This window comes from Homo sapiens, chromosome 5 (assembly GCF_000001405.40).
Source record: "Homo sapiens chromosome 5, GRCh38.p14 Primary Assembly".
Classification (NCBI taxonomy): Eukaryota; Metazoa; Chordata; class Mammalia; order Primates; family Hominidae; genus Homo; species Homo sapiens.
The window spans coordinates 88,192,901-88,218,676 of NC_000005.10; the positions used below are offsets into that span (position 1 = coordinate 88,192,901).

Sequence of the window (25,776 nt, forward strand, 5' to 3'; positions counted from 1 at the left end):
TATAGATTTCATAATGAATTCTATTTATTGCTTCCTGGACCTGTCAATTCCATTAATGGATGAATATCTCTTCTGAATCATAACTGAGGAAGAAATGCCACTATTTTACCAATGATATTTATATCAGAAACAATAAGACAATGAGCCCATTCTGCTTGTATGCATTGGTCATTTTACGCACATCAATTGGGATTCTGGGAAAAATACTGATATAATAAAAATGCACATGGATATTAAGATAAAATTATATGCTTTTCATTTCAGACAAATCAATGGGGGTAGGAGGAAGAATACAGCTCTGATTTTATAGTGCAATGGCTAGCAAGTGGGGTAGTCGGAAAGACAGGAACCAATAAATTGTCGCAATCCTACTAATCATACAAAACCAAGATTATAAGGGCAAACACATACAATAAAAATAACTTTATATATGCTTTGAAGCATATTATATTGACTAAAGTATAACATACAAAATAAAAGAACTATACTGGTCTAATTTGGGGATATTAAAATATTACTTGGTTTACATAAAGTACAAACTCTTTTGTATTTGAAGAACATAACTCTTGGTTCAAAGACAAAATGCATAAATAAACCAATTAGTTCAAATTTGCTTTGAAAGGCTAAAAAAACTAAACCAAACCTGTTACTTAAAATACTTGGTTTGCTCAAGCCAGAGTATACTTAGAGTTTAAGTTTAAAAAGAATGAATTAACAGAACTTTAGGAATATACATTATTCCATCCAATAATGAATTCTATGTCTTTTACACCATATTACTGCACTGTACAATCTTTGAAACTTAAAATAATAACTTCAATTTTACTTTTTAAAATGTAGCTCTTTGGTAAGAATGATTATAAATACCAGGTGAGATTCTTCCCTAGTCCAACATGTGAGAATTTTCAGATACAAAACAAATGTGAAATTTTGGTATCATCTTATTATAAAACAAACACATTTTGATGACGCTGATATATCTCAAAATATATTTGAAATGCTTCCTTTGGAAATACACATGAAGCGTCATTAGGATATATTCACAATTCATTTCAGTCAGTTTTATCCAGTTTAAGTACTTACTACTCAACTTTTTACATGTTTTATTTTAGTTTCAGGGCATACATGTGCCGGTTTGCTATATGGGTGTATTGCACAATGCTGAGGTTTGGACTTCCAGTGAACCCATCAATCAAATAGTGAACATAGTATGCAACAGGTAGTGTTTCAACCCTCATTTCCTTCCCACTTCCCCTCTTTTGGAATCCCTAGTGTCTACTGTTTCCATTTTTATTTCCATGAGTACTCATTGTTCAGCTCCCGCTTATAAAAGAACATCTGGTATTTCATTTTCTGTTTCTGAGTTAGTTCACTTAGGATAATGGCCTCCAGTTTCATCCATGTTGCTTCAAAGAACATAGTTTCATTCTTTTTTTACGGCTGCATGGTATTCTATGGTGTATACATACCACATTTTCTTTATCCAATCAACCACTGATGGCCACTTAGGTTGACCCCATGACTTTGCCACTGTGAATACTGCTTCAATAACAGATGAGTGCAGGTCTCTTTTTGATACAATGATTGCCTTTCATTTGGATTGATACCTAATGATGAAACTGCTCAGTCAAGTGGTAGTTCTATTTTTAGTTCTTTGAGGAATCTCCATACTGTTTTCCATAGGACTGGAAGTAATTTACATCCTCAGCAGTGTATAAGCATTCCTTTCCTTTTAAAACATGGCTATTTCCAAAATATTTAAATCTACACCCAAAGACAGGAATTTGCTATATTAAAATTTTCAGATGACTGTGAACCTTAAAAGCCCTGAAAGTTATTCCAAAAGAAGAGTTTCAAACTTGCTTTCAACAGTGTTAACAGCACTGAAACATAAAGACAGCCTCTTAAGAGTTATATGGAAAAGCATGTATTCATTTATTTGAAAAGACAAAAAAACTACCTTTATCTCTTACACATTTTACAATCTTGACCCTTCATTTTGAACTTTAGATGTAAAAGGCATCAAAAAGAGTTTTACTTTTTTTCATTTCCCTTGAATGTTTCATTCAAATTATCCGTTTTGGCCAGTAAAACAAAAATATTTCTAATTCTAGAAACTACAAATTTAAAACAAGTCCTATTTAACAAAGGCATACATGATACCTGTAGACCTGATTTGAGAGGGAAAGATTCTGATTTTTGGAAATGACAGAAAAAGAATTTTAATTTGGGAGAAACCATTAAGCGTCCATAAAACTTTAAATACACTCACACATAGGCAACACAAATAAATTGCTTACTCTGCTGAACTTTCAAAATGTATTTTAATCTCATTCCAAAAAGAAATAAAATTTCTAGATACAAATACATCTCATTCAAGTCACTTTTTAACATACATTCTGCAACTTAAAATATTATAAGGATTCAATATTTTCATCTTTTATAATCTCAATATATTATATATTTAATATATAATATATATACAATACATACAGGTAGTCAGCAGGTTTACAAAGTAATTTCTTTAAAGTCTGATCAGTATTGATAAATATTTTAGCCTATTAAAAGGAACTAGTTAGGATCACAGAATAAAACAAAATATGGCAGGTCCAAACCTAATGGCAAGATTACAAATGTTCATATGGCCAATCATTTTAAAAGAACTCTCAAGTTGGGTGGAATATGTTTTAAAACAATACTCTTGCTATTCTCAAGCAGCAGTAGTTATATATTTTAACCATATTCATCTCCATTAAATTTAAAATAACTATGCAGCTTTCTTTACTGTAATATACAGTAGCTATCTCTTCCTTTCTGTTGGATTTTATTGTTTCAAGAGTAACTAATAAATTACCAACAGAAGAGACTTTAGCCCCTTTCCCTCCCCTAAAGCATGGCTCAGTTTGAAGATTGTTCTATAGGCAGCCACTATGACTATCAACAGTACCATAAAACCATTAAAAGCAATCAATAACTAGAGTCATGTGAGATGTTTCAAAGACTGCTGGAGGTTTCTGTAAACCAGGGTAATCAGAAATATTACCCTTGTAGATAGCCCTCTCATACCAGTAAATACAAAGAGTTAAAATTCCAATGCCACAGTGTAACAGTTAACAATCTATTTTGTAATTTTAAATATTACTACATTAATTCACCCTGAGAATACAGAGGAAACATTTAATACAAGACATTCTGATATGTTTTTTTTTTCCCATTGTATTTGCTTTCTTCTGGTTTTCATCAGCCCTTTAAGGGCACAGATATTTTAATTTAAAGGGTGATTTGGATATGCTTTTTTGTTAACTGAGATTCATGCCACAGTCAGATACTGGTGATAGAAAAGCCCAAAAAGGCTTGTAGAAAAGAGGCAAGCAGCAATCCACCAGGTCAGAAAAGACAGAAGTCCTCGAAAAAGAAGAGGAGTAAAAATATTTTTTAAGCTGCTCAGTGCCACTGTTATTTGTGTAACAGTTACCTTCATTTTCCCTTCAGCTGATGGTAATTCAGAGTAAACAGAATTGGACAGTAGACTATTATCCACTGGTAAGGTAGAGATAGATTCTGGATAAATACCCCAGGAATGATTACCTAGAAAATCAAAGACACAAATACAATTTGAAGAGTAACTAATTACCAAGCTTTTTATTAAAAAAAAATCTTCCTATATTTGAAATTAACAATATGTTTAGTGGCACAGTACATCATTTTATGTTAAAAATAAAGTAAAATAATAATCCTTCTAGATCTGTAAAAAATTAACCTGACTAGAGACTATCTGGCCTCATCAGTAAAGGTACACATTAAAGCAAAAAGTCTGATATATTTTTAATTAACTGCACTAAAAATTGGTAAAATAACAAAACAATTTCCTCATTGTATAAGAAATTAATCAGCTAACTCTACTGGAGTGACAAGGACAGATTCAATAACTTCTGAGAAATCTTTTCTACTTCTAGAATATCAAAATAAATTCCTTTCTCAGAAACTATGATTTCAATGTGAAAACCTATTAATAGCTTCCAAAAATTTATTTCATCATATACTTTCCTACAGTGGATAGGATATGAGCCACTTAATTTACAATTGAACTACCTATCCCTTTACATTCCGTAGATTCTTACAGGGCACCTATACCTATCATCAAGTCTATGACACCTACTAGGTCCATGAAGCTAAATAATGCTTTTAGTTCTTTCAGGTTTCTTAAACCCTAACAGTGGCTGATTGCCTGATCTAAGAAAGGGGAAATGATCAATGCAATAATAGACACCTCTTGAATAACACCACCACATGGGGACTTGATAGCTTAGTGAAGAGACTTGTAGAATTTTGTACTGAGAAATCTTCACCGTTTCGATGTAAGTTATCTAAACTAGAACTTACCATAGCATTCTGTAATTTATGTAAGTTTATAATTGCCTTGTAATAATTTAAATGTTAGGCAATAACAAAACCTTAAATCATCCTCTTATAACATGAAAGTAACTAAGATCAACAGTGCTTACTAAAGTTACTGGGTAAATCTGAGACTTAACCTTTAGTAAACAATTCTTGAAGACAAAGCATAAAGTTATAAAACCATGGGCCTGAGTTTTCAAAATGAAGATGATAAATCACCTTCCACAGCTAAAACTTTCCCATGGTTCTTTTTACAACTTTTAAAAAGAGAAACAATTTTAAGAGTTGCATTTCTTTGTTGGTGACAAAAAGCTTTATTAATTATAGGTAGAAAGTAAAAGATGCTTCCTAGTTGCCAGGGCATGCCTACCTAGTGTTTTCAAAAGCAGAGTTGTGTGAAGCAGCATTACCAGAGGCGCCACATACTGCAGTGCAATGACACAAAGATAATAAAAGACTCGAGCCACCTGCAACCAACAACATTCTTAAGTGTCTAATGCAACTGACATGTTAGGAGTGAATTAAACTTTCATATAATTGCCATACCAAAATACTTAAGAGATAATCCTTTCACAAGAAGGAAGCTAAATGTCAGTAAGTTGTGCTGCATGATACATGTCCCCAAAATGACTTTGGAAAGGCTCAATTTGAAGACAAGTTTTTAGAACGTGAGAATATTAAAATAGATTCCTTAAAAATAATTCTTAAATGATGTATATATATTGGAGAAAATAATGACTAAGATTCAAATGGTATATATTTACTTATATTTCAAAGATAAAACACAATGTAAGGGCATCTACCTAAAATATCCAACTAAATAACAATAGTAGGCAGAGCCACATATGAGCATAAATCCCTCATAAATAAAAACATTAAGTCCCCATTCTACATGAACATATTTGAAGTCAAACTATGGAAAATATAAAAATATATAAAAGGTAAAACAGAAAAAAGTTGTTTAAATCTTAATAAATGCCCCTAACTATGGAGGTGAATCAAAAACTGAAGCTGGTTGGGCGTGGTGACTCACGCCTGTAATCCCAATACTTTGGGAGGTGATGCAGGAGGATTACTTGAGCCCAGGAGTTCAAGACAAGCCTGGGCTACACAGAGAGACCCTGTCTCTACAAAAAATAAAATAACAATAATAATAATAAAGCAAGGTAGCCAAAAACCACCTCTCTTAAAAAAAGAATGAGGTTATTGGTCCACTATAGTGGCAGATGGATTCCTTGTCCTTTTATTCTCTGGAAGCCTCAAATAAATTAAATACTTACATTTCATGTTCAAGTAAATTGAGTAATATTAAAATGAATAAATTTAGCCACTAAAAGTAGTATTTCCTACTCTTTAAGTCTTAAAGTCTGGACAATATGTTATAATGTCTTTCAAATCAATTAGAAGGGTCCCATTTAGCAATATTAGGCATAAAACAGCTTTGTACCACCCACTGTATGACACCAAGCACTTAAGGCAGGAAGAGGAATTAAGACCTCACTTGGCACCAAAATCAGATCAAGGTCTCTTTGATATCTGTCAACTTAAGATTGTTCTGTTTATTTATAATAAGAATATGATGGGTTGAAATACTATCTACTAAAGGAAACCAATTTTTTTTTTTTTTTACAGTGCGGTTTTTGCTATTTTTCATTTTGACTAGGGTATAAAACTTACCATTTTCTGTAGCTCAACCGTGCTTATTCGCCCCGCTTCTTTCTTCATCTGATCCACACATTTTTGGGCTAAATTTAAATAAGCTTGCAGGTGACTACGCATCATGGCCAACCGCAAAGCACACAGCAGGATTATTAACCAGAGTCGCAGAGTATCGAATGTGGCTTCTGTCATTCTACAGATCAAAAAGTTGATACGGTGCTCTCAAAGACAACAATATGCTAGCATGCTCGTTATATGTTAATGGTCACCATATAAGATATAAGAAGTCTATACTTCGCAACAGTTAGACACATAAAAGAATCTGACTCTGCCATAGACTTAACTGTATAATACTTTAACTTGAATAACAGAACTAGATAAATGTATCATGAAAGCGTAAGAAGTTAACAGGTATCTAGAAGAAAAAAGTAGAGCAATACATGAGATCCTTTTCTCTATATACCCTCCTCCATGGATAAAAACTGGCTGTGACATGAAAAGACAAGTTGGGGAAAGAAAGAAAACTGCAGGGATTGCCTGTGGGACTAATCAAGTCAATCACCCAGCATCACTGGTTACAGCTTTGCCTGATCATATACCTACTTGGATGGGATCTTTCAATCTGCTGAGCTTTTACTTGGGACCACTGGAAAATCAAAAATTCTGATATATCATGAAGAAATCAGGTGCCTGAGATTCCTCTACAACAATTCATTTAACTTGCTATGCGTTGAAGCTGGCTCGGTTCTGAGCAATTCCTCAAGGTTAAGGTTAAGATTCCAGGTGAAAATACATAACGGAAGGACACCATTTCAGAAACCAGACCACTGATGAGGGCTGCTTAAAGAATTTTTAGAAAGAAGAGATAACTTCTGATGTCCTTTTGGTGTTTAATGTTTTTAAAAGACCATGGGTTTCTGCTCTGATGAAGAACTACATTGCAAGTAATTTGAATGTAGTGACTAGACCACCCTTGGCATCTAGTCTTATATCTAGTACCTATCAGGCACTTAAAATGACTATTGTAATGCACAGACTCATTTGCCAGATAAAACCTGGAACTCAGAAGGGTCTCCCTGAAATTCTTAAGAACATGACGGTAGAATGGATGCATATAAAGAACAAATGAGAAAAGATTAAAAAAAAAACCCTCATAACTAAAACTACAATATAGGAAAATTTGAAGTGTAAAATTTTGCTCGAACTGTTTATGAAATGGAGGTAAGAAATGGGGATGGGACAAAGGCTTTACTATATATACTCTCTCATTTCTTTTTATTAAGTCATGAGGGGACATGGACATAAAATTTCAATGGAAAAGCAATGTTGGCTAAGAAAGATAAAGGCATAACATTTTATCAACATGTTTCCACTACAATGAACAATGAGATTTAGGAGCCATCATGTGAGAGTAACAGTACGTAAGACACAAGCCTACCCACAGCCTTGACCCTTTCCTGGGGACCTATAAACAATACTGTGCTCCCTCCAGTTGTGCAACAAGGACAACTAACTGGGAGCAGCCTGAAGACAGCTATTTCACAGCCTTTGAGGATAACAGGTAACGTGAATGAAAGGAACAGAATAAGGTAGTGAACTAGAAAATTATTTGTTCAGTTTATGAGTTGAGGATTTAGGATAATAGTCATTAAATAGTACTTTCTAATTAGATTATTCCATACCATCATAAATATCTGAAGAAGTTGATCTGATAGAGTATCTCAAGAAGGAGCATGAGGAGGAGCTTAAAGTATATAGGGAAAGAACAGGCAGAAGAAACCACCTTAAATTCCTGATGCCATTCTGAGCTTTCCTGTATATGCTGTGTTCTTCTTAGGAGATTATGAGCACACATGGACTCTGTTTACCATATTTTATTTTTTTCAATGCTTTATCAGAACACATGATGGACTCAAACACATTTCTGGGTTGAAACTACATTATACCATATTTTTGCTTCTGATTACAAAGACCTTTCCACAAACCAATTTGTCTGTGACAGAAGAAGAACCTGTCACTTTATTTTTCCTTCATCCTACCCTCTTTGATGGGCAGCCATTTTTTCACAATCTATCACATGCATTTTAGATTTTTAACAAAAATTAAAAACTGCCTCTAATAACTTAACCACGAATTCAAATTAAAGAAGAATAAAAGAGAGCAGAGGTAAAACTATAATTTTGCTTGGAATGCTTATGAAACAGGTCAGAAATGGGGATGGGACAAAGGGGGGAAAAAGCTATAGAAAGAGAACCTCAGGTCTTTATATACAAACAATATTTTTCCTATAATTTAATATACACACAAGGGAAAAGTTCCTTATTCCCATTTCTATTAAATAAAGTATTCATTACTAATAAATCCACATGAAGTTTAATCAGACTGGAAGTGGGAAGTGAATGTTGGTATAACTACCAAGTGTTTTATGTACACGCGATCTGGCTGAATAACCTTAGTCAAATTATTTAACCTCTGAGCCTGTTATTTCATGTATAAAATAGGATGACAACAGCAACAAATGGACAATTACCATAAGAAGATACAATATGTAAAGTATGAATATCTCACATAATAACTGGTATATAAGTGTTTTATAAATGCTAGTTTCCTTATTTTCTCAATTTAACTAAGGCAAATATAAAAATCAGGGAACATAGTTACAGGAGTATGAAATCCAGTTTCCATGACCAAAATCTCAAGGAAGGATTGGGAATGCTTTCAGTATCAAAGATATGAATTAGTAGTTTCTCTGAGACTTTTCTAGAACCTTAGATCCTTAGAATTACTTTTCAATACTTAGGGAATCTGTCAAGTTAAATTACCATTAAGGTAATTAGTGTGTGTCGGCGGCGGGGAAGCATTACTTTTTCAGTGGCTATTTCCTGGGTTCAATAGGATTAACTCTAAAAAGAGAAATTATCATGGTCATCACTGATTTTATATATATTCCAAGACAAACTGGTACCAGGATCTAAAAGAAGGACACAATACAAAAGGTACACTGCGGAGTCAATGACTAGTCAAGTATTTCTATTTTAATTCTGATGAGGCAAAGCAGTGAAAAGAACATTTATTAAGCACTTAATTCCAGCTGGTTGCATTACATGTGTTCTTTCATTTATTCCAATGATAACCTTGTGAGTTAGATACTATTATCTTCATCTTCCAGATGGGGAAACAGAGGCTCAGTGAAGTTAAATAACCTGCCTCAAATGAAGATTTTAGTGAGGAGGAGAGCTGGAGTTTGAACCAGTTCTGTCTGAAACTTTCTATTACTCTAACAGTTCTACAAGGCTAACAGATCAAGTCTAGTTATTAATGCCTATTAATAAACTGTTTGTTTCCTCACCATCTTCTTCTGCTAAAATACAGTTGCCTAACTGTAGAAATATAAACTAGTATTAGATAATAATATTAAGGTATTAGTATTAGATAACTGTTAGGTACGATGATGTTATTGTTATATAGGAAAATATCCTTATTTTTTTTAGAGGTGCAAACTAAAGAAAGTACTAAGGGATAAAACTGTTATGTCTCTAATTTACTTCAAAAATCCTTCATCAAAAAACAAAACAAAGAATGGATGAAGCAAATATGGAAAATGTTAACAACTGTCAAACATAGGAGTTGAGTATATGAGTTTCCATTTATACTTTTTTCCTCCATAATTTTCAAAATTAAAACAAAAGAACTCCAGAAGGTATCTGAACAATAGCCACAATGACAACAGAAAAATGATGACGACTGGACATAAAGAGGAGGAAAAAAATAGTGTGTAAGGTAATATTAGTGCAAGGTAATAATCATTAACATTAACTAATAAAGATCACAAAAATGTTACATGATGGTCTGTAGTTTCAATTTTCTAACACATCTTTTAGCATTCCTATTAATGTCTGAAAAATACAGTGTCCTGATTTTATCACTGAAAACGAAATACAGTAAATAACATTTAGTAAAGCAGTTTTGGTGATAAAAATCAGCCCTCAAATGCCCATACTTACAAAGGGATACTTTCTTTGCCCAGTGGTGGGTTCATAATGTAGTCTTTGGTGATTGGTTTTACCCAGAGCAGAACCATAAATAAAGGTGCCAAGAAGTTGATATGAAGTAAAGTTCTGAAAGTACGTAAGAAATAAATATAAAAATTCAGAAACAGCACGTGCTAATAAACTACAGAAGCTGGGGTCTTACTAAAATGGAGGTAGGAGCTTATTTGCAGTATTCTACTACTTACGATACTACTGTCACCATCATTTTATATTTATCATTATGATTTAACACTGATTTGAGCCTGTGAGAAATTATATCATTATCTTAATTTTTCAAATGAGAACATTTAGATACAGAAAAGTTAAATGACTTGCTCTTGGCAATAAGTTAATGTAAATATAGGACTAAAATTCAGATTTGTTCACTTCTATTCTAGTATTCTTTAATAATCTCATACTTTATTCCTGATTTAATAAGCAGGTATTTAATGATTCTAACTTTATATAGTCAACGAATCTAATGGATTTTCAGTACAGAAGAGTCGTCTGATACTTTCTAGGGCAACTGAAACAAAGTGTCTCCTCATTATCTACAAGTAAATGATAGTGATTAGCCAGGTCCATATTACTAGAAGGCATATGGCAGACGGAACCTACTGCAACAACCCGCAACTGAGGAACCTTTTAACGTGTAATGATCATTTATAATTTTTAACTTCCATTGTTAACAATCGTTAAGTGATTCCACATTTTAATTTCTTTTTGAATGAGTATGAACACACTTGAAATAATTTCCCTATCATATATATATATATATATATATATATATATATATATATATATATATATATATATATATATATATAATTTGCATTACTCCTGACAAGGCAATATACCTAATACAGCAAAGGTTTCAGGTCTGCGCTATAACTTCATTGTTAATTGTCCAAGTTTGTATCCTACAGAGATAGATGGCTGATAAAAATTTTTCTTATTTTAGAAAAAACGCAAATTCTTCACCCATTTTATTACCATAAACTGCTTTCATTATCAACCACACTTAAGAGCTAAACTGGAGGGTTCAAAATACACACAAACACCACATTTTAAAGTATCACTACATAGGCAGACAGTGATCTGTGTGAGTGAACAGGGCTGGGTCAGGAAGCCACAAACACCTAACAGGGAAAGGCAGAACTCCCGCTCTAACCTCTGATATAAAAACACATCCTAGTGCCTAGCCATGGGGGTGAAGAGAATGCTGCTCTTTGTGCCAGTCATGTTACTCTCACAACAGAACTAGCTTGCCCACACCCTTGTATCAAGGCAGAGTGCTACAACACAATGAGGGGCTGCAATAAACTGAAAATAAAATAAAACCCCAAATCCCCCAAGGGAAAAAATCTTAAAATGAAGCCACATTTTACTAAAAAGGACACTAAAATGTGCACTCCACCTCCAACCACCACCAAATGCTTTAAATGTTTTTATAAAGTGATTCTTTCATCCCACAGACTGGGTAAACCATCGGATGTGGGGAAGAAAGCAGCAGTATTAGGTATGCAGTGTTGCTAGGGAACACTCTAGTATCAAGGAGCAGCCCACAGCGGTTTCAGTAGCTTGTGAAGGGCTCCCCTCCACCCACCCTTTTCAGCTTATTTAAATCATAACACTGGGGTTAGTGGACTGAAGTGTGTGTGCAGAGAGGAGGGGGAGAACCAGGTTTTGTCTTAAAAGAAGCCATTAGGGAGACGGGTGGTGGGAGAAAGACGGGATGCAGCCAAAAGCACACTGAGTAAAAGGAGAAAAAAAAAAGAAGAGGGATGAAGGAGTGTGTAGTGGGAGGCGATAGTAAGTAAACACATGTACAAAGCTTATGTAGAAAAATGGAAGTGAGGTTAAAAAAAAAAGACAGTCAAAATTAAATTAAAGGGAAATGACAGGTAAGAGAGACAAGAATGTGAAAAGACTAAAGAATCAGCATCATTAAAAATAGGTTTTAAAGAATAGAAATGTTAGGAAATAAGATTACCCAGATAAACTTAATGGTTATAAATACACATATCAAAATGAAATATTCTCAAGTTGGGCTTCTACTGCAAAACAAAACGATGAGACAGGAACTTTGATCTGCATATGATTTGAAGTAGATATAAGCCTATCTTTCTGCCAAGATGTCTACATCAACAAAAAAAAATCTGTGACAAGCACAAAGAATATAGTAAATGGGCTTTGAACTACATATGAAGATGAAATGTGACTTGTCCAAACTAACATATAACTTCAGAACTAAAATAGAATTTGGTAGTTAGAAGTAATGTACAACATATAACATTGTAGAGTACTAACAATCCCAAAATAATGTATTATTTTAATAAGAGTCTAATAAGCAGGTCAGTAACTTAAGGAAAACAAACACCTCTTACATACAACTTTAAGTTTTAAAATGTTTTTAAGTAAAATTTTACATTAAAAAGTTAATTTAAATAGATATATATGAAAATTTAAAACAATATTTTAAAGTAAAATGATCTTATTTTTTAAGGGAAATTTCTATGGATCCTCAGTTTAGTTGTAGAGATTGCAGTATAAGCCCCTGAATTAGAAATAACATAAATTTTGAGATTTTCATTTTAACAGGTAAGACAAATTTAGTAATCGATGATGTATCTTTTTAAATACAAGACTTAAAATTTAGAAGCAAATAAAAGAAACTTGCTTATAGTTGAAAGAGGAAGTAGTGTGACATCAAATGGTTATTAATTTTCAATACAATAATTTATGATTACATTACAATATTATACCTTCATTAAGATGGAAAACATATATTTATCTGCATGTGCTTATGTACATTTTCCGCTTACTGTGTAATTTTTTCTGTTGCCAAATTCAGGGCATCCAGATGCATTTGAGCCAGTCGTAATCCAGGAAATGTCAAAAAAGCCCCAATGAATGAACAGAAAATAGCCAGGAAAAATTTGAAAGTAAGTTTTGAAACAGGACTCCTAAAAATAAAATTTTTTAAAAAGCTGATAAATTTTTATAATTAGCTTTTGAAGAATTTCTTTTCTTCTAATCAATTATCTTACAAATAACAATAACAGTAAAACAAAGCAAATTTCTACAAAAAGATTGCTATTATTCAAGTACCTATAATGGATTCTGGTGAACTGTAAACTAAATGAGGCATCTCTTTAGTCATAGTCACAGCAACCTAACCTACACATTCAACAGGGAATTGACATATAACTTGGATATAAATTTAATCTCTTGAGGGAGAGGAATTTAAGAAATGCAAATTTACATAAGAATTCTATAAAAGACACTAACTTTATATAGTCATAAAAATTATGAGTAAGGATGTTTCTAGAAGTGACAGTCCAACTTAAAACTCTTTACTAATTTAAAACAGCTATTTATAGTAAATACTGCTTTATTAAAAATAGAAAAGGTTAAATTTAAATAATGCTTAATTTTTCAAAAACTTACTGAGATTCTAAACCTTGCTTTTCAAGAAACTGCATCGCACTGTCTGAAAAATTTGTAAACCCTGTGGGGGAAAAAAAAAAAAACAACAGATTACTCTTATCACAAATGTGAAATACAGAATCTTTCCATGGAAATAAAATGTTAGAAAACAGAGCATCTTAAATTTTGAAGTGACTAGCTTAGCTCTTTCATGTGTTAATTAGTATGCCATAATGCAATAAAATTTGGTTATTAGCAGGAACAGTCTTTGAAAACGTCCCTTTGATATTTGTACATTCCATGAGTGTGCATAAAATTTGCATTAATTCTTCAACTATAAGAGTAAACTTTAGCATTACAGAAACTTATTTAACTGTAAGGAAAAAAACGAGACAGTATTTTTGGAAAAAAACATTAATTAAAAACTTAGCTAAAACAAAAGCAAAAAATGAAGATCTTAATAATAAAGGTTAATTATTTTGAACATTACAGAGTATACACTTTAAATTTAATTTTAGATATTTATCAGACATAAAACTTAAATACTGAAGTCAAAAATATTAACACTAGATAAAGCAAAATTGATTTTTAAAGTTGTATGAAACTATTACCTGTTTCAAGTCCAAATTCCAGATAATTTTCTGTTACAATCAACACTGCCATTGCTTTGACAAAGAAAAAAAATCCAAAGGTGACACAAACAGATCTTTCACCACCATCTTCTACTTTAAAATAGTGTGTAGTTAATGAAAATAGAACTTTGCTGCAGAAGGAAAAGTTCAGGAAAAACCACAATAAATTTATAGGAGCTATACACAATGATCTTTATAGGACTTGATTGCAATAAAATTTGACTACAACATTTATTTCCAAGTGGAGTTTAAAACACTTTTAAATTAAGGAAAAGAGCACCCATATACTAAGTTGTAGCTAGGGAATGTATTTCTAGTTTATCTCACTCAAATTTTACTAGAAGGTTATTTCAAGATTTTTATGCAGTATGTTCTCAGTGACATGAAAAGCCAGGGTAGAGGTTATTCTAGAGAACTGTCTTTATTAGGCATGTCTGTTAAACCAGTTTACATTTATAATTAAACACATAACACAGGAATCCTCCGTAATAATTCAACAAGTTAAAATTTGAGAATTTTACTAGTAGCTATTGTTGATCTGTGGTATGAAAACTAAGTGTCTGGGGTCACCACTTCACATTAGTAATAAGAAAAAATCTTTAGAGAAAACAAGTTCCAACTGAGTATTCAAAAACAGCAAAAGTTTCAACATGTTCACCTATTAAAATAGGCTGAAGAGATTATCTTATCTGAACCACCCCAACACACACAAATTGATTTAATCAAGGTTAAATCAGTGCATGGCCCAAAGATAGAACTCAGATTTCCATTATACACCAAATTGTTCTCCTTGAAATCGCAAAACAAACTAAGGTGCTTGGCAAACAAACCTAGAAAAGTAACCTTTACGTAAAGTTTATGTCAAGCATGGAAAATTAACAGCTATCACTTAGTACTTGCCATATGCCGGGCATTACCAATTAACTTTTAATTCTCACACTAACCACATTATTATTGCTACTTTACAGACATTTTAAAAAACTTAAACAAACAAACAAACAAACAAAAAACAACTGTGGGCCGGGCGCAGTGGCTCACGTCTGTAATCCCAGCACTTTGGGAGGTCTAAGCCGGCGGATCACCTGAAGTCAGGAGTATGAGACCAGCCTGGCCAACACGGCGAAACCCCGTCTCTACTTAAAATACAAAAATTGCCGGGCGTGGTGGCTCACGCCTGTGATCCCAGCACCTTGGGAGGCCGAGGCGGCTGGATCACGAGGTCAGGAGATCGAGACCATGCTGGCTAACATGATGAAACCCCGTCTCTACTAAAAATACAAAAACTAGCTGGGCATGGGGGCGGGCGCCTGTAGTCATAGCTACTAGGGAGGCTGTGGCAGCAGAATGGCGTGAACCCGGGAGGCGGAGCTTGCAGTGAGCTGAGATCGCGCCACTGCACTCCAGCCTGGGTGACACAGTGAGACTCCGTCTCCAAAAAAAAAATTAGCCGGGCATGGTGGCACACGCCTGCAATCCCAGGTACTCGGGAGGCTGAGGCAGGAGAATCGCTTGAACCTGGGAGGCGGAGGTTGCAGTGAGCCGAGATAGCACCACTGCACTCCAGTCTGGGCAACAAGAGTGAAACTCCGTCTCAGGAAAACAAAAAACAAACAACAGCAGCAACAAAAAAACAACAACTGTGGCAGAGAGGTAAAAGTAAAAATATCAAAATCACAGCTAGATTAGAGAAAGTTGAGATTTAAAACTAGACAGTCTGGATCTAGAATCTGTGCACGTAACTATTGATTACATTGCCTCTAAAACACTGTACATAGCACCTAAGTCAATGTGGTACTTTTAGCAGTAACACATAAAATCTTTTCAAAACAGAACTGCCCTGACAGAAGTAAAGAATTAAAACATTCTCATAATCAGAAGAATCCTTTCATATATATCTCACACACATAGTCTGAAGGTAATTTTATACAACATATTTAATAATTTTGTGCATGAAAAAAATTTTGACTGCATTTTAACTGCAATCTCTCACATGAGGCCCAGTGTAAAGTCTTCTACTTCTGGTGTTATGTCAGTACTGGAAAAGTTTTGGATTTTGGAGCATTTCGGATTTTGGATTGTAATGCTCAACCTGTATCAAACAATACAGGTCCATCCATCTCTTTCTTGGCATTATAAGGAAGAGCTTACATATTAGAAGAGGACAAAGAAAGATGAATATAGTCAAACTGCAAAACTACAACTGAACTGCTTTTAAGATACAGCTATGATCTCTCATAGCCTAAATGCCTTAAACTCAGGTTTGAAAAACACTGCTTTATTTTTACTGAAAATGTTTACTAGAATCTATAAGGAGACAATTTCCAACTTCTTTTCTTACACTGAAAAACAAAATAGTATCTTTGGCCAAAAGTGGTACCAAATCATCAGAATAAAATTTCCCAAAAATTACACCTACCACCACACTTTGTTATCCTAGAATAATGAAATTACAAAATATGTCAACACTAAAGGAAAACAAAATTACATGCAATCTGATCCAGACATGAAGCATGATCTTGCACTTATCACTAATACTTTACAGTCCCACACCACAAATGCCTAAAATGGTATAATCACTGCATCCTCACTTCATATTGCATACTGGATAAATCTTAAAAACCTAATTATTTATTGAGTTCCACATTAGAACACCATCTCCCAATAACCCGTATGTAATACTATGATCTGGCCACACTCACATGTTCAAGCTTTCATTCAATAGTCCCCAAATCTCCACCTCAATCAGAATAGTGTACTTGCCATCTCCTGAGTGTCATCACTACACTGTCTTGGATCATAATCTATCATCTGAACTCTTCCCTCCTCCTACCCAATCCAAGACTCAACAAAAGCTCCATATCTTTCATGATACTTAACATTACCTTCCCAGCTGAGGCCATTCTTTTCCTCTTTTGAACTTATTGTATCACTTACTAATATAATTCACTCGCCATGTAATCATATACTATCTTAAACTATAGTGTGACAAAGTTGTAAAGAAAGCATTCTCTAGACCTAGAGTGTCTGGCTTAATCCTGGTTCTACTCTTACTAAACTATGTGATCTTCCACTTGAAAATTAATTTCTCTGTGTCTTAGTTTCTTCATTTGTAAAATGCCGCCAGTCCACAACCTCACAGGGCTATTTTGAAAAGCAAAGATTAAGTCTTCCTAGTTCTCAGCAACAACTTAATGTTTTCTAGACAACTGAATTAAATATTTAACATGTAATACCAAAAATATGGGAATGTATACAAAAACATATGGATCAATACAATACAAACAGATAATGATACCATTCCTGATTGTGTTTAAATTTTTAAAATTCTATGATAATTTATTTTAAGAGGTACAAGATTAAGAAGTATACAGGCAGTGATGTGCTGTGCACTGACTTCTATGTAGGTGGCAACTAGACTCACAACTCTCCACTCTGATTGCCTTTCTATGCAGCCAGGCCACTCTGACTCCAGCAGAAGACTAAGATTTTTGCCTCTGAAGAAACTGAACCTGAGGCACAGAAGAGTTTAGATTTAGTCAACTGCATCAAAAACAGGATGATTAGGTGAAAGTCTACACAGTCAAAGGTAGTACTCACCTTGGAAACATGTGTAGCAGTTTTGTACACTCCAGGCAGGAGATTAAGAGATTCTCCTCTAGAGAAACTGAAAGGCCTCAAGGAAAAGACCAATAAACAATGACACTATGGGCTACCTAAAATAAAGCTGGTTTTAGTATTATCAAGCTATTCTTTAGTGAAACTAACCAAGCCCTAATTACATACAGAGCTTCCAATCAGCTTTTAGAGGCCATCTCTTAAAAATGAAAGGAATCCTCAGACATTAAAAAAGGAATCGGAAAACATTTTCTATGAAAGACCAGATAGTAAATACTTCAGGCTTTGTGGTCCATATGCAGTCTCTGTAGCATATTCTTCTGCCTACTTTGTTCCCCTAATCCTTTAATAATGTTAAAAAGCCATCTTAGCTCAAGAGCTGTACAAAAACAGGCTGCAACCCAGATACTGCAAGCCATAGTTAGGCAACTATTATTAGATGTATCTAATACATCGAATAAGATGTATTAGAGTATCACATCTTATAAAAAAAATACGAGCTAAAATCTGCAACAGAAAAAAAGTAACTTCAAGAAAAAAAGAGATGACAGACACAGCAGAATGAAGTTTGGGTATATAACTATACATACAGAAACAGATACATACATATTTTTATTTAGAGATATTTATAAACATAGGATATGCATATTTCATAAAGCTAGACAAAGATGAATGCATCTTTGAAATAAGATCAGGATGCTATGAAAAATGAATGGTTAGACATCAACGAGAAACAGGACAGGAAAAATAAGAAAAAAAAAAGTCAAAAGTTCCATCAAGCAGAACAAAAAGACAAAATGAAAAGTAAGACAAGACCGGGCGTGGTGGCTCACACCTGTAATCCCAGCACTTTGGGAGGCTGAGGTGGGCAGATCACCTGAGGTCAGGAGTTTGAGACCAGCCTGGCCAACATGGCGAAATCCCATCTACTGAAAATATAAAAATTAGCCGGGCGTGGCGGCGGGCGCGGCGGCGGGCGCCTGTAATCCCAGCTAACTCGGGAAGCTGAGGAAGGAGAATTGCTTGAATCCAGGAGATGGAGGTTGCAGTGAGCCGAGATCGCACCACTGCATGCCAGCCTGGTAACAGAGCAGAACTCCATCCAAAAAAAAAAAAAAAAAGTAAGACAAAAACTGATGATGAGAGGTTAATCCAGAACATACAATATCTGACTAATGAAAGTGAGACAGAGAAAGAAAATGGGAGTGGAGGGACGGACAGAAGAAATTCTCAAAGACATAATCAAAGAAATTTTCTAAACTTGATGTTTCCAAATTAAAGAGCCTACCAAAAGCCCACCACAAGGAAGTAAAAAAGATCCTCATGAGGTACATGAGCATGAACTTTCAGAAACAAGACAAATCAAGAGACAACTGTAAAAGTTTCCTCAGAAGAAAAATAAAGCAAAACTAGGTATATGCAAAAGATTAAATATCACCATGATAAGTAATTCTTAATAGCAATTTTCAAGGTTGAGGACAATGGAGCAATGCCTTCAAAATTATGAAGAAAAATATGGATAACCTAGAATTCTATAACCAACCAAATGCCAACAGAAAGAGTATAAAATTAAAACACTTTCAAAACTGCAAAGTCTAAAAATAGTTACCTACCCCACATTCATGCTTTAGCAGAAAGCGCCACCAAAACATTTTGACAAATCAAGAAAGAAAGACACTAAATTCTAATAGGAAAGAAAAGTCAAGGACAAGTAGGACAATTTCCTCAGGAGGAAGTATTTTAAATATTTTTACCTTCAAGCTGAAGATAAGCTTCCAAATGATGAACAGGTTCAAGTTTTAGGTCTAAAATGGCAAATTTCTCTCAGATTTAGAATAACAACTTAATTAAATAACATACACTTATAAAAGTACTATTATGGGCTGGGTCCAGCGGCTCACACCTGTAATCCTAGCACCTTGTGAGGTCAAGGTGAGCAAATTGCCTGAGCTCAGGAATTCATGACCAGCCTGGGCAACATGGTGAAACACCATCTCTACCAAAAATACAAAAAATTAGCCAGGCTTGGTGGCACGTGCCTATAGTCCCAGCTACTCAGGTGGCTGAGGCACAAGAATCACTTGAATCCAGGAGGCTGAGGCTGCAACGAGTCAAGACCATGACTTCACTCCAGCCTGGGCGATGGAGCGAGATTATCTCAATGCTCTTTTGAGAAGAAATAGACCATATTCCAAGAAGAAATATTTTGTTGCTAATACACAAGTATGATAAATAGTATCCTAAGGAATAAACATAGAGATTTCTCAAAAAACTTTCACAAATTTATGATTATCTCTTTAAAATAGATCACATTTCCACTCAACTAAGTGATTTTTATATAAACTGAGTTTTTCTATTCTGTGAAAAAAGATTCTATTGTTTTTCTGATCACTGCTACTAAATAAAATCCCTAATGTTTTTCTATTCAAATAATTAAATCTTCCACCTCTGTTTTTCCATAAGAAAAGGCAACTAAAATACTCAAAATATATTATACTTCACATTCTACATTGCAAAGAAACCTAGAAACTGTACCAAGAACTTATTACAGATATACACTGAAAACTAAAAATAAGTACATTAATCCTAATGACCTATTAAGTAAAAGTCTTAAAAATAATCTGATCCTATCTTCCAATGTTAAAAAAAATTTTTTAACAAAAATAATTTTAAACTAAAATATTTTTCATACTTTCTTAGATATGCAGTTTCCATTACTTTAATTACAGAGAAAAAGAACCTAAAATTCCCTTAGATATAAGCAAAAAACTATCGTGCCTGTTTAAAACGCCATTCCACAAAAAAAGCTTTCAGCCAGCCTCAACCTAACCAGACTGTGAAGAGAATAGCCAAAAATTTCTGAAAGCATAATATACAACCTTTATTTAAAATACAAAAGAAAACTATCTTTTATTTTCAGAAAAATTTTTATTTTCAGAACAAAATTTCAGTTTCAGAAAAAAAATTATCACTTTGCAGCTAAAAGAGCAAAGTCAGACTCAATTATAAATTAATAAACAGAAATAATGTCCTATTACCCCAAATCTCTATTTAACTCTAGATTTTTGTCTTGAAATCTGAGTAATATGACAGCATTAATGTCACAAAAAAATCTCCATGTTCATACAACAAACAAGCGTTGACATAACATGACATATACAACTTTTCAAGATAAAACAAGTACCTTGGCTCAGATTCAATAACTCTGAGTTTCATTCCTTTTCTCACTAGAACTGAAATCTTATGCAGTTTACTTCAGGGTATAATGTTTTGCTTTTCCTTATTAATCTAAAGCAGAACATTTTTGTAAATAAAAGAATATAGTTAAAGCCTTTGAAGGAATTTAGAAATGGTGACTAAGTTGTACTAGTTTGTTGTAGTTGTTTATTTCCCACAGCAAATAAAAACAACATTTGTAGACTTTTAATAAACAAATCTACATATAGAACTGATTATTAAACCAGAAAACCTTAAAATTTATTTTAACTTAAACTAGTCACAGCTTTTAGCTTTGTATAAAATTTGTATGCCTGGCAACGAAAGAAAATTAAAATTTTAACACAGCCATGAAAACATACATAATAGGGTTTTGTACCTTAAACCTCCACATTGTAAAATACAAGCACTGTGGAAATGTGACTAATGATCCAGGCCTTTAACCAAATATAATAGGACTACTGAGAAGCTTTATCACTCTTTGTAGAATAGCTTTCTTCTCACTCAAATTCACATAATTGACTCAGTATTACTCTCTGTGCTACAGCTTATTTCTAAGAAAGATTCTTGGGAAAAAAAAAAACTATACATTGTAAAATATTTTCATTTTTTAAAGTTTTACTTCCACCAAAGGACCTCTGGCTTTGCAAGCAACATTTTTACCTTTTTACTTTTCATTTTTTCATAAGCAAAAATGATACACTTCATATCCATAAAACCAGTACACACGCCTACAGCAACTCTAAGACTTCATGGGCCATCATACAGGAAAGACATTTACTAGAAATACTCCATCCTCATTGCAAGGGTTTCTTTACCTTTCTCCTTCCCCATAACATGTAACTTGGCATAAATGGAAGTGGAACACACAGACTTGGTCAGAGAAGATGGTTAGAATTACAAATGAGAAAGAAAGAAGAGTAGAGCTGAGAATTAGTTTGGGTTTAGGAGTGAGATTGAAAGCAGCTGTGATGGCTGAGATGCATGAACAACTCAGGTGAAGCAGAAAGCAGAGCTGATGACAAGAGAAGACTCAGTTCTAGGTTTCAGGGTTCAAGGTTTTAGTGTCACAAATTTTAAAAAGTCATTCCTGTGCTTTTAGAACTTTTAAGATTCTGTAGAAAGCATAATTTGCTGTCTTATGTATGTCACATATCAGTGAGGGGGGAAAGACAACAAAATGACCATGGAAGTTAAATACTTTGCTTCCTTTTAAGTGAACTGATTTTTAAAGTTTTATGTGTCTAATTTGGGGACCATTTTAACAAGGAACATTTCATCAGTAACAACTGCAGAGAATTTCTGAATTAACTGAGGTATGTATGACTATGGAATCAAGCAAAGCTATTGTCCTGTGTAATCAATGCAGACACGTGTTTGACTACTAAGTAGGCACATACAATAAGAAAACAAAGAGAAGCCAGACAGGGGTTACTTCTGCTATATTCCAATCATAGGGTATGAAAGGAAAAACAGGTTATGTTATAACTAAAGATAAAAGATAGGATGTAAACTTATTTCTCTCTGGTGTTAAACTGGATATCTGGAATTTAATTCTGGTCTCCTATATGCCTTTAAAGGTGGTAGGTAACTTTATCACATGCTACAGGTTTGAACAAAAAAAAAATCACATACTCAAGCATACACACAATTTTACTGCCTTCTTCCCCACCCTCTTTTTGGAGAATCAAAGCTGGCAGAAAGTAGCTTGGCCTGTAAGCTCTTCAGAACTTTCTGTCCTCTCTGGGATAGGGAGACAGCCAGCGAGCTACAGGATTCCTGCAGAGATGTTACTGTTTGATGCCTTTCAGGAATGGATTACTTAAAACGAAGCAAAGTCAGTTCAGTGCTAAAGGCTGTGTGGGACCTTTGCTCCCACATTATTAGGCATTATAGAGTAAAATGAAAGATAAAATTTACTCACATAAACAATATGAATAGCTATTAAAAAGTATATTTTTCTAATTTCTCTGGTACATATGTATCAAGGGCTCAATCACATTAAAATAAAACTGCATATCAAGTATATGTATTCCCACATATGTGTAAACCATGAAGAAAGTGAGGAAAAGAATATTCAATAATAAGCAATACTGGCAGGGCACAAAGACTCATGCCTGTAATCCTAGTGTTTTGGGAAGCCGAGACAGAAGGATGGCTTGAGGCCAGGAGTTTAAGATTAGCCTGGACAGCATAGTGAGACCCCATCTCTATAAAAATTAAAAATTAGCTGGGTGAAACTGCAGTCCTAGCTGCTCTGGAGGCTGAGGCAGGAGGATCACTTGAGCCCAGGAGCTCAAGGATACAGTGAGTTAGGACTGTGCAACTGCACAACAACTTGGGTGACAGAGTGAGACCTTGTCTCTGGGGAAAAAAAAGAAAAGGCAATATTTTGGAGAACATGATAACTCACTGAAATCTAAAAAAAAGTAACATGACATATAATCAGCTCATGCTAATTATCACGGGAAAATATTTTTGATGTGTTTTATATGACTTGATGTCGAGGGATAGGTCTTTATTCTGATTGAATGGTATTTTCACATATTTAATACTACAGAATTAAACAGGAATATTTTATGTGCTTGAATTTAAAATCTGCTCTTGGAGTTAGTGCAACACTGGATATCTCAGATGTTTCTCAGCTGACACATGATTAGTATTTCTATCCAGTACACTACATACTTTGTGAGGATATTGACTCTTAAGACTTTGTTCTGGCTCTTCTAGTCTAAACTATACCTAAATCAATCCAAAAGAGGCAACGGAAAGGTAGTACCTGGTGATGAACTGTCAAATTATATCATAGATTTTAAATGGTATCCACTTAACAGGTTTAAAAGATGGTGCCACAGTCTCCGGTTAAATATTAAGATGTAAGACATGCATTTCCTCTGCTCATTCTCACAATCTGACTAAGGCACATAAAAAAGTCAAAAACCTCAAGAACAGATAATAGAAAAAGAGACAACAATTAGTAAGTAAGTAAATAAATAAATATCAACAAAATTTTGGAAGATGTTAAGTGGATAGAAAAGCAATTAGGTTTCAGCTTTTTCTGCTATACTTGATCTGCAAGGGGAGGAAGTCAGTAAGAAGAAAGCCAATTCATTCATCAGAAACCTGGGAAAAGTACTGTAGACATGAGGTACCTTCAAATACAGGGTTGATGAATGGATAAAATAAGATTAAAAGTCTGTACTGCAGTTATTAAGACTTCCCAGATCTAGCCAGTTGTGGTGGCACGTGCCTGTAACTCTCAGCTACTCGGAGGGCTGGGGTGGGAGAAACATTTGAGCTCAGGAGTTAGAGGCTGCAGTGAACTATGATCATACCACTGCACTACAGCCTGGGCAACAGAGCAAGACTCTGTCTCTAAAAAAAATTTTTTTAAAGACAGATTAAGCAAATCAGTTACTTTTTATCTCTTCCTAAATCCCACCAAAATGATGGTAAAGGAATCTGGCTTTAAGGAACATAAATGAAGTAAGAGAAAAAGCAATAAAATTGTGGGAGCTAGAAAGCAGACTCAACAGAATGAGGAACCTCAATTGGACAGCTGAGAAGAAATTTGACTTTTTACTGCAAAACTCCCCAAAAGGATAAGGAATTGGTTAGATGACAAATAATTCTCTACACTAGGGTAAAAGTGCTGGTTACTGAATGTGTGTGTGGTGGTGGCGGCAGCGGTGGGCGAGGGGGTGGTGGGGGGTAATAATAGGAGGTATTAGAAATAAGTACTAATGAAATTAGTACTTTTTAAAAGTAACCAGTTCAATCTGCCCACATCTGAAGCAAGTATGGAGATTTATGCTTTGGAGAGGGTAAAAAGATAATCTCTGGCCTACCCATATGATTCAGCAACTTACCTCACCATGTGCTCAAAGCTTCCCTTCAGATTTTTAATGTCTCACACTTAATTATGGACAGGCAAACACCAATCACTAGAGCTCTCTAAGAAAAGCCTGTGATGTGAAAGACAGCAACCAAACACAAGCAACTCAGAGTAAAAAGATACTAGGCAGAAAAAAAAAAAAAAACCTTAACAAAATCTATCATTAATATCTTAAATAGACACGGGAAGATAATGTAATCATAAAACGAGCAGAATTCCATCAAAGGGGCAGGTGAACAGAAGAAAAAGAGGTTGTGAAAATTAAAAATTATATCAGAAATTCAAAATAATAAACTCAATAAAAGATTAAGAAACTTAAGAAAATTTCCCAGAAAACCAAATAATATAAAAATATAAACATATTTCTTTCAAGCATGCAAGAAAGAGGATGACATTCTTGGGAAACCAGTTGAGGAGATCGAATATCTGAATAATAAGCATTCCAGAAAGAGAGAAAATAGAGAAGGGAAAAATCACCAATAAAATAATTCAGATGAGATTCGGTGTGTCCAGAGTGGTATGGCTGTAGACACGAATAAAATAATTCAAAACAATTTTCTAGAACTCAAGAACATCAGTTCACAGACTGGTAAAGTCCCAACACAGGGGATGAAAACAGACCCTAAATAAGGCACATCATCATAAAATTTCAACACACTAGGTGGCTAGGTAAAAAAAGATGGTAACGATAATGCAGAGAAAAAAACAGAACTTTAAAAAAAAATCAGATGGCTGGGCGCAATGGCTTACACCTGTAATCTCAGCACTCTGGAAGGCCAAGGCAGGAACCTGGAGGCCAGGAGTTGACACCAGCCTGGGCAAGCTGGGGAGACCCTGTCTCTACAGAAAATAAAGAGAGATGTGATTGCACCACTGCACTCCAGCCTAGGCAACAGAGTGA

General features: G+C 34.3%; 1 protein-coding gene across 23 annotated transcripts in view; it reads right to left on the reverse strand.

Moving 5' to 3' along the window:
* Positions 1-25,776, reverse strand: part of TMEM161B (transmembrane protein 161B) — an 83,276-nt gene that overhangs the window by 7,331 nt on the left and 50,169 nt on the right. For 9 of the 23 annotated variants that reach the window (XM_047416812.1, XM_024454375.2, XM_047416811.1 and 6 more), the window contains 7 exons: positions 14,129-14,280; positions 13,539-13,599; positions 12,914-13,054; positions 10,062-10,175; positions 6,076-6,250; positions 4,769-4,865; positions 2,147-3,588 (listed from right to left, as the gene is read on the reverse strand). In XM_047416812.1, the coding sequence (XP_047272768.1) occupies positions 3,311-3,588; positions 4,769-4,865; positions 6,076-6,250; positions 10,062-10,175; positions 12,914-13,054; positions 13,539-13,599; positions 14,129-14,280 (1,018 nt within the window). In that variant the 3' untranslated portion in view covers positions 2,147-3,310. Of the gene's footprint in view, positions 1-2,146; positions 3,589-4,768; positions 4,866-6,075; positions 6,251-10,061; positions 10,176-12,853; positions 13,055-13,538; positions 13,600-14,128; positions 14,281-17,746; positions 25,004-25,776 lie in introns of those variants that run through there. The other 14 variants (NM_001349405.2, NM_001349403.2, NM_001349402.2 and 11 more) reach the window with 6 other exon arrangements.